This window comes from Homo sapiens, chromosome 8 (assembly GCF_000001405.40).
Source record: "Homo sapiens chromosome 8, GRCh38.p14 Primary Assembly".
Classification (NCBI taxonomy): Eukaryota; Metazoa; Chordata; class Mammalia; order Primates; family Hominidae; genus Homo; species Homo sapiens.
In genome coordinates, this window is record NC_000008.11 from 43,032,103 (window position 1) to 43,045,344 (window position 13,242).

Consider the following 13,242-nt stretch of genomic DNA (forward strand, 5'->3'; position numbering starts at 1 on the left):
TCACGCCTGTAATCCCAGCACTTTGGGAGGCTGAGGGGGGCAGTTCACAAGGTCAGGAGTTTGAGACCAACCCGGCCAACATGGTGAAAACCCATCTCTTTTAAAAATACAAAAATTAGCCAGGCATGGTGGCATGCATCTGTAATCCCAGGTACTCGGGAGGCTGAGGCAGGAGAATCACTTGAACCTGGGAGGTGGAGATTGCAGTGAACCAAGATCGTGCCACTGCACTCCAACCTGGCAACAGAGCAAGACTCCGTCAAAAAAAAAAAAAAAAAATCTGCATTGATTAATTTTTTTTTTTTTTATTGATCATTCTTGGGTGTTTCTCGCAGAGGGGGATTTGGCAGGGTAATAGGACAATAGTGGAGGGAAGGTCAGCAGATAAACAAGTGAACAAAGGTCTCTGGTTTTCCTAGGCAGAGGACCCTGCGGCCTTCCGCAGTGTTTGTGTCCCTGGGTACTTGAGATTAGGGAGTGGTGATGACTCTTAACGAGCATGCTGCCTTCAAGCATCTGTTTAACAAAGCACATCTTGCACCACCCTTAATCCATTTAACCCTGAGTGGACACAGCACATGTTTCAGAGAGCACAGGGTTGGGGGTAAGGTCACAGATCAACAGGATCCCAAGGCAGAAGAATTTTTCTTAGTACAGAACAAAATGAAAAGTCTCCCATGTCTACTTCTTTCTACACAGACATGGCAACCATCCGATTTCTCAATCTTTTCCCCACCTTTCCCCCCTTTCTATTCCACAAAACCGCCATTGTCATCATGGCCCGTTCTCAATGAGCTGTTGGGTACACCTCCCAGACGGGGTGGCGGCTGGGCAGAGGGGCTCTTCACTTCCCAGTAGGGGCGGCCGGGCAGAGGCGCCCCTCATCTCCCTCCCGGACGGGGCGGCTGGCCGGGCGGGGGGCTGACCCCACCACCTCCCTCCCGGGCGGGGCGGCTGGGGGGGGTGGGGGGCTGACCCCGCCACCTCCCTCCCGGACGGGGCGGCTGCCAGGCGGAGACGCTCCTGACTTCCCAGACGGGGCGGCTGCCAGGCAGAGGGTCTCCTCACTTCTCAGACGGGGCGGCCGGGCAGAGACGCCCCTCACCTCCCAGACAGGGTCGCGGCCGGGCAGAGGCGCTCCTCACATCCCAGACGGGGCGGCGGGGCAGAGGCGCTCCCCACATCTCAGACGATGGGCGGCCGGGCAGAGATGCTCCTCACTTCCTAGACGGGGATGGCGGCCGGGAAGAGGCGCTCCTCGCTTCCTAGATGGGATGGCGGCCGGGCAGAGAAGCTCCTCACTTTCCAGACTGGGCAGCCAGGCAGAGGGGCTCCTCACATCCCAGACGGGGCGGCGGGGCAGAGGCGCTCCCCACATCTCAGACGATGGGCGGCCGGGCAGAGACGCTCCTCACTTCCTAGATGGGGATGGCGGCCAGGCAGAGACGCTCCTCACTTCCCAGACGGGGTGGCGGCCGGGCAGAGGCTGCAATCTCGGCACTTTGGGAGGCCAAGGCAGGCGGCTGGGAGGTGGAGGTTGTAGCGAGCCGAGATCACGCCACTGCACTCCAGCCTGGGCACCATTGAGCACTGAGTGAACGAGACTCCGTCTGCAATCCCGGCACCTCGGGAGGCCGAGGCTGGCGGATCACTCGCGGTTAGGAGCTGGAGACCGGCCCCGCCAACACAGCGAAACCCCGTCTCCACCAAAAAAATACGAAAACCAGTCAGGTGTGGCGGCACGCGCCTGCAATCCCAGGCACTCGGCAGGCTGAGGCAGGAGAATCAGGCAGGGAGGTTGCAGTGAGCCGAGATGGCAGCAGTACAGTCCAGCTTCGGCTCGGCATCAGAGGGAGACCGTGGAAAGAGAGGGAGAGGGAGACTGTGGGGAGAGGGACAGGGAGAGGGAGACGGGAGAGGGAGAGGGAGAGGTGATTAATTTTTAAGTAGAAAAAAAGTTACCCATGTCCTGTTACTCAGTTACCAAAAAATGATCATTTTCAGCATCTTTTCACTTGTATTTTAACTTTTCCATTCCACATTCTTTCTCCCTTTCAATTAATTTGTTTTCCATACTTTCTTTCACACATCGGAGATACCCATATTAATTAAAGTTCACAATGGAAGTTATGGTGATGCACTAATGTAGTCCCAGCTACTCAGCAAGAGGATCACTTGAGCCCAGGAGGTCGAGGCTGCAAGTGAGCCAAGATCGTGCCACTGCACTCCAGCTTGGGCAACAGAGCAAAACCCTGCAAAAAGAAGTGTTCCCCAGCCAAAGACCTGCCAGGTTTGCCTTAAATACATTTTTGCTACTGTTCTGATTATCTATTGCTGTATCACAAACCACTCCAAAACCTAGGGTCTTCAAACAACTTATTACTATCCCTCCTGAGTCTGGAGACAGGCTCAGGCTCCGCTGTTCTCAGATGGGATCTCCCATTTGGGTGTGGTTAGGTTAGATGACGTGTGAGGCCAGAGTGATCTGAAGACTTGCTCTCCCACATGCCTGGCACCCAGGCTGATATGGATGGCACCTCCAAGGCGCATTGGACATTTCCACACAGCATCATGCCAGGACTTGTTTGGATTTTCTCACAAAATGACTAGGTGAGTTATTCCACGCAGCCAGCTTTCCCTAGAGCAAGAGTCCTAAGAGACCCAGGTGAATGCTTTGCAGCTTCTGTAGCCTTGGAAACCACATGGCATCACGTCTCTTATTTGTCAAAACTGTCATGGACAAGACCAGGTCCATGGGGTGACAGAATACACTGCAATTCTCAGTGGTAGGATGACCAGGTTACACAGCTGCCACTCTGGACTCGAAGGAAAATGTCTGCTATGAGGACCATACTTCTGAGGTAAAATCTTTCCCCATTTTCTGATTTCTATGCCAAGCACGTTCACTGTGCACAACAGTCAGGTACATGACTTCAGTGTGAACAAAACCTGAGGTAGAAACTACACAGAAATCTGGTAGGTTCGAAGCCACAAGTAACACTCGTACTTCTTTTGGTAGGTATCTAATTGCACGTAACATAAGCTATAAAAAAGTTATATATAAAATGTTGGCCGGGCACGGTGGCTCACACCTGTAATCCTAGCACTTTGAGAGGCCGAGGCAGGTGGATCACAAGGTCAGGAGTTTGAGACCAGCCTGGCCAACATAGTGAAACCCCGTCTCTACTAAAAATACAAAAATTTGCTGGGTGTAGTGGCATGCGCCTGTAGTCCCAGCTACCTGGGAGGCTGAGGTGGGAGAATCGCTTGAAACCAGGAGGCAGAGGTTGCAGTGAGCCGAGACCACGCCATTGAATCCCAGCTTGGGCGAGAGTGAGACTCAGTCTCAAAAAAAAATGTTACATATAAAATGTTAAGTACCCTGGTGCCTAATTTGGGGGACTTTATTTGTTCATAAGACAGGGTCTCATTCTGTCACCCAAGCTGGAGTGCAGTGGCGCAAACACTGCTCACTGCAACTTCAAACTCTTGGGCTCAAGCAATCCTTCTGCCTTAGCCTCCTGAGTAGTTAGGACTATAGGTGTGCACCACCACATCTGGCTTATTTATTTATTTATTTTTTCCGAGATGGAGTCTTGCTCTGTCGCCCAGGCTGGAGTGCAGTGGTGTGATCTCAGCTCACTGCAAGCTCTACCTCCTGGGTTCACACCATTCTCCTGCCTCAGCCTACCGAGTAGCTGGGAGTACTGGTGCCCGCCACCACGCCTGACTAATTTTTTTGTATTTTTAGGAGAGACGGGGTTTCACCAGGTTAGCCAGGATGGTCTCCATCTCCTGACCTCATGATCCGCCCGCCTCGGCCTTCCAAAGTGCTGTGCTGGGATTACAGGCTTGAGCCACTGCGCCCAGCCCACCCCGCTCCCTCTTTTTTTGTTTTGTTTTTTTTTTTGAGACAGAGTCTCACTCTGTTGCCCAGGCTGGAGTCCAGTGGCATGATCTCGGCTCACTGCAACCTCCACCTCCCAGGTTCAAGAGAGTCTCTTGCCTCAGCCTCCCGAACAGCTGGGATTACGGGCATGTGTTACCACTCCCGGCTAATTGTTGTATTTTTAGTAGAGAAGGGGTCTCCCCATGTTGCCCAGGCTGGTATCAAAACTCTTAAACTCAAGGGATCTGCCTGCCTCAACCTCCCAAAGTCCTGGGATTACAAGTGAGCCACCGCGCCCAGCTTGGGGGACTATATTTTAAGGATATTGTCCAAAATAAGAATACACGTATGTGTGGTGATGAACTGTTCATACTCCCAGTTAAGGTTTGCTCAGGCCCCTTTGTCATTCCTCTGGTCCCTCCAAGCTCCCATGTACTCACCCCCATTTCCAGGCAATGATTTATCTGCTTTCTGTCACTAGATTATTTGGCATAGTCTATAATTTTATGTAAATGGAATCATATAGTATGTACTCATTTTGTCTGGCTTCTTTTACTCAACATAATTATTTTGAAATTCATCCATGCGAGCTGGGCGCGGCGGCTTACGCCTGTAATCCCAGCACTTTGGAAGGTCGAGGAGGGCGGATCACGAGGTCAGGAGATCGAGACTATCCTGGCTAACACGGTGAAACCCCGTCTCTACTAAAAATACAAAAAATTAGCTGGGTGTGGTGGCGGGCACGTGTAGTCCCAGCTACCCGGGAGGATGAGGCAGGAGAATGGCATGAACCCGGGAGGCGGAGCTTGCAGTGAGCCGAGATGGGGCCACCGCACTCCAGCCTGGGTGACAGAGCAAGACACTCCAGCCTGGGTGACAGAGCAAGACTACGTCTCAAAAAAAAAAAAAAAAAAAATTATCCATGCCGTATACACCCATAGTTCATTTCTTTTAACTGCTCAGTAGGATCCATTGTATGGGTACTACTATGAATGCACAATCTATGCATTTGCCTGTGGTAGACATTTGAGTTGTTTCCAGTTTTGGGGCTGTTACAAATAAAGTTGTTTTAAATGTTTGTTTATAAGCATTCCTATGAACATGTGCTTTCATTTCTCTTGGGTAAACACCTAGGAGTGGAATGGCTAGGTCATATGCTTAATTTTTTTTTAATTTTTTTTTTTTTTTTGAGATGGAGTCTTGCTCTGTTGCCAGGCTAGAGTGCAGTGGCGCGATCTCAGCTCATTGCAACCTCTGCCTCCTGGGTTCAAGCAATTCTCCTGCCTCGGCCTCCCGAATAGCTGGGATTACAGGCATGTGCCACCACGCCCAGCTAATTTTTGTATTTTCAGTAGAGAAGAGGTTTCACCATGTTGGCAGGATGGTCTCGATCTCCTGACCTCGTGATACACCCGCCTCAGCCTCCCAAAATTGTGGGATTACAGGCCTCAGCCGCTGTGCCCAGCCTATGCTTAACTATGTCACCCAGGCTGGAGTGCAATGGCGAGATCTTGGCTCACTGCAACCTCCGCTTCCCAGGTTCAAGCGATTCTCCTGCCTCAGCCTCCTGAATAGCTGGGATAACAGAAGGCTGCCACCACACTCGGCTAATTTTTGTATTTTTTTAGTAGAGACAGAGTTTTACTATGTTGGCCAGGCTGGTCTCAAACTCCTGACTTCAGGTAATCCATACACCTTGGCCTCCTGAAGTGCTGGGATTACAGGTGTGAGCTACCACACCGCCCATGTTTTACAAACCACCAAACTATATTATGATCTGGTTGTATATTTTACATTCCCAACAGCAGTACAGGAGACTTTCAGCTCCTTTACCTCCTTGCCAATACTTGGGTCCATCTGTTTTATTCTAGTCATTCCAGCAGGTGTGAACTGGTATTACTGTGGTTTTGATTTGGTCAGTCTGTTTCACTTTAGCCACTCTAATGGCATATAATGATATCTTGTGGTATTAATGTTCATCCCTCTTGATGAACATTTCATGTTCTTGCCATACATATATCTTTTGATGAAATTATTTTTCAAATTGTTTCCCATTTTTATTGGGTTTATTTTTCTATTATTGATTTTGAAAATTCTGTATGTATTCTAGATGAAAGTTCTTTAAGGCTGCACGCAGTGGCTCATGCCTGTAATCCCAGCACTTTTGGTGGCTGAAGTGGGCGGATCACGAGGTCAGGAGTTAGCGACCAGCCTGCCCAACATGGTGAAACTCCATCTCTACTAAAAATACAAAATTAGCCAGGCATGGTGGCACATGCCTGTAATCCCAGCTACTCGGGAGACTAAGGCAGGAGAATTGCTTGAACCCGGGAGGTGGACATTACAGTGAGCCGAGATCACAGCATTGCACTCCAGCTCTGGGTGACAGAGCAACATTCCATCTTGGGAAAAAAAAAATTCTTTATTAGATAATTGATGTGCAATATATTTTCTCCCAGTCTGTTGCTTGGCTTTCTATTTTCTTAGTAGTGTGTCTTTCAAAGTGCAGAATTTCTTAATTTTCATCTTGGATCTAAGAAATCTTTTTCTAACCTAAGCTTGCAAAGATTTCCTTTTTTTTTTTTAGACGTTTCATAATGTTATATATTACATTTAGGTTTATTATCCATTTCAGCTTAATTTTGGTATATAGTGTAAAATATGGATTGAAGTTTCTTTTCTTTCTTTTTATTTTGTGTGTGGGTATATAAACTGTTCCAGCACCATTTGTTGAAAAGTGGAAATTTGTTCCACTGAACTGCATTGTACATGTTTGTTGGAAATCAATTGAGTATAATGTGTAAGCCTATTTATTTCTGGATTCCTTTTTGGTTCCATTGATCTATATTTCTGTCTTGACACCAGTAACACCCTACCTTGATTGTGGTAGCTTTACAAGAAATGTTGAAGTCACATGGTGTGAGTCCTCCAGTTTCTTTTCCTTTTCAAAATTGTTTTTGTTATTTGGGTTCTTTGCCATATGAATTTTATAATCAGCTCATCAACTTCTACTTTTAAAAAGTTGGAATTTTGGGCCGGGCACAGTGGCTCACGCCTGTAATCCCAGCACTTTGGAAGGCCGTGGCAGGCAGATCACGAGGTCAAGAGATCGAGACCATCCTGGCCAACATGGTGAAGCCCTGTCTCTTCTAAAAACACAAAAATTAGCTGGGTGTGATGGTAGGCGCCTGTAATCTCAGCTACTCAGGAGGCTGAGGCAGGAGAATCACCTGAAACCAGGAGGCAGAATTTTCAGTGAGCCGAGATTGTGCCACTGCACTCCAACCGGGGCTACAGAGTGAGACTCAGTCTCAAAACAAAAACAAAACAAAAAAAACCCTCTCTGTACTACCTTGCCTAAATCTTGCAAATTTTTATATACTATGTTTTTCTTTTTATTCAGTTCAGAATATTTTCTTTTTTCTTTTTTTTTCAGACAGAGTTTTGCTCTGTCGCTCAGGCTGGAGTTCAGTGGCACAATCTTAGCTCACTGCAACCTCCGCCTCCCGGGTTGAAGCAATTCTCCTGCCTCAGCCTCCCGACTAGCTGGGATTACAGGTGCCCACCACCATGTCTGGCTTATTTTTGTATTTTTAGTAGAGACAGGGTTTCACCATGTTGACCAGGCTGGTCTCGAACTGCTGGCCTCAGGTGATCTGCCCGCCAAGGCCTCCCAAAGTGCTGGGATTACAGGGGTGAGCCACTGCACCTGGCCCCATGCTACCCACTTTTAAGTTATCATATCTCACAAGAACTCACTATCTACCTGGAGGACAGTACCAAGGAGCATGGTGCTAAACCATTCATGAGAAATTCACCCCCACGAGTCAATCACTTCCTTCTAGGCCCCACTTGTGACACTGGGGATTACAATTCAATATGAGATTTGTTTAAAGACACAGATCCAAATCATATCCGTGTGTTAGGCCATTTACATTTAATAAAATTGTTTGTATGGCTAGTTTAAAACTGCCATCTTGCTATTTGTTTCTATTTGTTCTATCTGTTCATTGTTCCTTTTTTCTTTTTTTGCCTTCTTTTGGAATAATTGAGTATTTTTTAGTATTCCATTTTATCTCCTTTGTTGACATATTTGTGATAACTCTTTGTTGTGTTGTTTTAGTGGTTGCTTTATGGTTTATAGTTTACATGTTTAACTTACCACAGTTTGCTTTCAAGTGATATTGTACCCCTTCAAGTGTAGCGTAAGAGCCTCCAACAGTATATCTTCATTCTTCCTGCCCATGCTTTATGCTACTATATTTTGAATCTATAACTGTTATTTAAACCCATAATACACTTGTTTTGCTATAAGCAGTCACTTATCTTTTAAAGAGGACTGCATAAGAATAAAAATATTATATTTTACAATACAGTTACCATTTCTGGTGCCCTTCTTTTGTGTAGATTCAGATTTCTGTTTCATATCATTTTCCTTCTGCTTGAAGGATGTCCCTTAACGTATTTCGTACTAAAAGTCTACTGGTGATGAATTCCTTCAGCTTTTCTATAACTTGAAAAGTACTTTGCCACATTTTTGAAACATATTTTTACTGGGGTTTTTCCTTCACTTGTTTAAAGAGGTTGCTCTACTTTCCTCGGCCTTGCATTTTTTCTATATTTCCTCCCTCCCTCCCTGCCTGCCTCCCTGCCTGCCTCCCTGCCTGCCTGCCTCCCTCCCTCCCTCCCTCCCTCCCTTCCTTCCTTCCTTCCTTCCTTCCCTTTCTTTTCAGACGGAGTCTCAGTCTGTCGCCCAGGCTAGACTGCAGTGGCGTGATCTTAGCTCACTGCAACCTCCACCTCCTGGGTTCAAGTGATTTTCCTGCCTCAGGCTGCCGATCAGCTGAGATTACAGGCATGCGCCACCATGCCCGGCTAATTTTGTATTTTTAGTAGAGACAGGGTTTTCCCATGTTGGCCAGTCTGGTCTCAAACCCCTGACCTCAGGTGATCCACCTGCCTCGGCCTCTCAAAATGCCGGGATTACAGGCGTGAGCCACCGTGCCTGGCCTTCTGTATTTCTTTCTTTTTTCTTTTCTTTTTTTTTTTTTTTTGAGACGTAGTCTTGCTCTGTCTCCCAGGCTGGAGTGCAGTGGCGCAATCTCGGCTCACTGCAAGCTCCGCCTCCCGGGTTCACGCCATTCTCCTACCTCAGCCTCCTGAGTAGCTGGGACTACAGGCGCCCGTCACTACGCCCGGCTAATTTTTTGTATTTTTAGTAGAGAGGGGTTTTCACCATGTTAGCCAGGATGGTCTTGATCTCCTGACCTCGTGATCCGCCCTCCTCGGCCTCCCAAAGTGCTGGGATTACAGGCGCGAGCCACCGTGCCCGGCCCCTAGCCTTCTGTATTTCTTATCTATTGCTATGAAATAAATTGCGGCCGGGCACAGTGGCTCACACCTGTAATCCCAGCACTTTGGGAGGCCGAGGCGGGTGGATCACGAGGTCAGGAGCCCGAGACCATCCTGTCCAACATGGTGAAACCCCGTCTCTACTAAAAATACAAAAAATTAGCCGGGCGTGGTGGCTGGCGCCTGTAGTCCCAGCTACTCAGGAGGCTGAGGCAGGAGAACTGCTTGAACCCGGGAGGCGGAGGTTGCAGTGAGCCGAGATCATGCTGCTGCACTCCAGCCTGGGCGACAGAGTGAGACTCCGTCTCAAAAAACAACAACCAAAAAGAAATTAATCCCCAAGTTGGCCACATAAAAGAACACACATTTGTTGGCTCACAGTTTCTGTGGTGCGGGAATGCAGATGCTGCTCAGCTGGTCCCTCCGGCTCAAACTTTCTGACAAAGCTGCAATCCAGGTGCCTGTCCTGGCTGTAGTCATCTCAAAACTGGACTAGGATCTTATTTTCTCAGGTGAATTCCTAGAACGGACTCTCTTCCCATCGCTTCCCCCTAGCAACTAGCATGGGGCTAGGGACAGATAATACTTGTCAGCTGCCACCCACTCCCAGACCCCTACCCTCCCCCATAGGTCGTAGGCCTTGGGGATCAGAATTCCCAACTCCTCAATGCGATCTTTGCTGCTGAACCTCCATCTCCTTTCAACTGAAGATGATCCATTAAAAATTGGAGCAAGAGGCCGGGCGCGGTGGCTCACGCCTGTAATCCCAGCACTTTGAGAGGCCGAGGCGGGCGGATCACGAGGTCAGGAGATCAAGGCCATCCGGGCTAACACGGTGAAACCTCGTCTCTACTAAAAATACAAAAAATTAGCCGGATGTTGTGGCGGGCACCTGTAGTCCCAGCTACTCGGGAGGCTGAGGCAGGAGAATGGTGTGAACCCGGGAGGCGGAGCTTGCAGTGAGCCGATATTGCACCACTGCACTCCAGCCTGGGCGACAGAGCCAGACTCCGTCTCAAAAAAAAAAAAATTGGATCAGGAAGCTGAAAACACATATCCCCCATGACCCAGCCACTCCACTCCTACATATATGCCCAACAGAAAAGCATGCATGTGTTCACTAAAGTTTATATACTAGCATGTTCACAGTAGCACTGTATATAAGAGTCAAAACTGGAGACCACTCATATATCCATTAAAGTAAAATGGATAAAGAGGTTGTGGCACATCCATAAAATAGAACGCTACTCAGCAGTGACAGCAAATGAACTGCTATTACATACAACACAGTTGACTCTGGTAGATACAGTATTGAACAAAAGCCAGATACAAAAATGGATACAGCATGGTCTACACATATAAAGTTCAAAAATGGGCAAAACATAATTACCCTTAGGGGAGTGCCTGGGAGGGGCCACAAGGACAGCTTGGTCGGTGGGAATATTCTGTAATTTGGTGCAGACGTTGGTGTCATGAGAGTGTCTTGTTTATGATCATTGTGTAGCTGTTGACTAACAATTTGTATTTTTCTATATATGTGTTATACTGTCATTAAAATATCACATAAGAATGAGGGAAGACCAGCTGGGCATGGTGGCTCATGCCTGTAATCCCAGCACTTTTGGGAGGCCGAGGCAGTCAGATCACCTGAAGTCAGGACTTTGAGACCAACCTGGCCAACATGGTAAAACCCCGTCACTACTAAAAATACAAAAAATTAGCTGGACGTGGTGACAGACGCCTGTAATCCCAGCTACTCGGGAGGCTGAGGCAGGAAGAATTGCTTGAACCCCAGAGGCGGAGGTTGCAGTGAGCAGAGATCACGCCATTGTACTCTAGCCTGGGCGACAAGGGAGATTCGGTCTCAAAAAAACAAACAAACAAACAAACAAAAACAATGAGGGAAGACCTTAAATAGAGTACAAGATGAATTAAGCAAATTACCTTCACTCATACTCCTCTACTCCTGCAAGGGTGTCTACAACTTTGGTGCCAGGCATGTTCAACACAACTGCCACTCTGGTGCCTTGGTACAACCTCTTTGCAAAAGGAACTTGGCAATATGTGTCAAAGCCTTAAAAAAAATTCAGTAGCTCAAAGAAGTAATCCTACCTGCAGAAAAGTCTTCTATGCATAAAGGGGCATGTCACATTATATAGAGAAAAATAAAAAATAATGTCCATATCCAGCAATAAATAGTTAAATAAAATTTAGTATGTCCCTCCTGATGGGATGTTGTATTTACAATAAATAACATGGGGATATGTCAAGGGACAAGTAGGATGCAAAATTGTATGTAAAATCTGATTATCACCATGTAAAAATTTGTGTTAAAAAACCTCTTAGGAGGAAATATACAAAAATATTACTGACTTTTGATAACGAAAAAAAAAAAAAACAAACCAGTCAGGTAGAATGGCTCACTCCTCTAATCCCAGCACTGTATTTATTTTTTTGAGATGGAGTTTCGTCCTTGTTGCCCAGGCTGGAGTGCAGTGGCACCATCTCAGCTCACTGCAACCTCCGCCTCCCAGGTCCAAGCGATTCTCCTGCTGCAGCCTCCCAAGTAGCTGGGATTACAGGCACCCACCTCCACGTCCAGCTAATTTTGTATTTTTATTTAGGTGGGGTTTCACTATGTTGGTCTGGCTGGTCTCGAACTCCTGACCTTAGGTGATCCGCCCACTTTGGCCTCCCAAGGTGCTGGGATTACAGGCATGAGCCACTGTACCAGGCCAATCCCAGCACTTTAGGAGGCCAAGGTGGGAGGATCTCTTGAGCCCAGGAGTTTGAGACCAGCCTGGTCAGCATAGCGAAAACCCCATCTCTATAAAAAATGTAAAAACCAGTCGTGATGGTGCATGCCTATAGTCTCAGCTACTGGGGAGGCTAAGGCAGGAGGATCACTTGAACCCAAGAGGGAGAGGCGGCAGTGAGATGAGATCGCACCAGTGCACTCCAGCCTGAGCGACAGAGGGAGACCCCGCAAAAAAAAAAAAAAAAAAAAAAAAAGCTGGGCGAAGGGAAGATCTACTTCCAAGTTCACTCACATCACTGTTGGCACACTTCAGGTCCTTACCAACTACCGGCCAGATACGTCAGTTTCCTGCCACGTTGGCCTCTCCGTAGTGCATTTCACAACATGGCCATTTGCTTCCCTCAAAATGAGGGCTCCTAGAGACGTAAGGGCCGGAGCAGGGGGGCCAACATGGTGGAGGTCACAGTCTTGTAATCTCAGGGTGGCATGCTATCACTTTTGCCTTTTTTTTTTTCTTTTTTGAGACAGAGTCTCACTCCATCACCCAGACTGGAGTTCAGGACATGATCATAACTCCCTGCAGCCTCGAACCCCTGGGCTCAAGTGATCCTCCCACATCAGCCTCCCAAGTAGTAGGGACTACAGGTCTGGCCACTTTTGCCATATTCTATTCATTAGAAGCTGGTCATGAGGTCAGCCCACACTCGAGTGGAGGGGACTTTACAAGGGTATGAATTCCAAGAGGTGGGCTCCTTAGGGACCATCTGCAAGACTGCCTACTGCAGCTTCCAGTGAGAATCTGCTGTCATCTATAGGTTTTTGTTTTGTTTTGTTTTTGTTTTTGTTTTTTTGTGATAGAGTCTTACTCTGTCACTTAGGCTGGAGTGCAGTGGCGCGATCTCGGCTCACTGCAACCTCCACCTTCCAGGTTCAAGCGATTCTCCTGCCTCAGTCTCCCGAGTAGCTGGAATTACAGGCGTCCACCACTATGCCTGGCTAATTTTTTTTTTCTTTCTGAGATGGAGTTTCACTCTTGTTGCCCAAGCTGGAGTGCAATGCGCGATCTTGGCTCACCGCATCCTCCACCTCCTGGGTTCAAGCGATTCTCCTGCCTCAGCCTCTGGAGTAGCTGGGATTACAGGCATGCGCCATCACACCTGGCTAATTTTCTTTTTTTGTATTTTTAGTAGAGACGGGGTTTCTCCATGTTGGTCAGGTTGGTCTCGAACTCCCGACCTCAGGT

General features: G+C 47.7%; 1 annotated feature.

The window, feature by feature from the left end:
* Window positions 1,228–1,779: an enhancer, noted in NCBI's record as "H3K27ac hESC enhancer chr8:42888473-42889024 (GRCh37/hg19 assembly coordinates)". NCBI's record gives its function as "activates a minimal SCP1, AML or CMV promoter by ChIP-STARR-seq in primed H9 embryonic stem cells {active_cell/tissue: H9 hESC(primed)}" and the evidence as "EXISTENCE:reporter gene assay evidence [ECO:0000049][PMID:30033119]".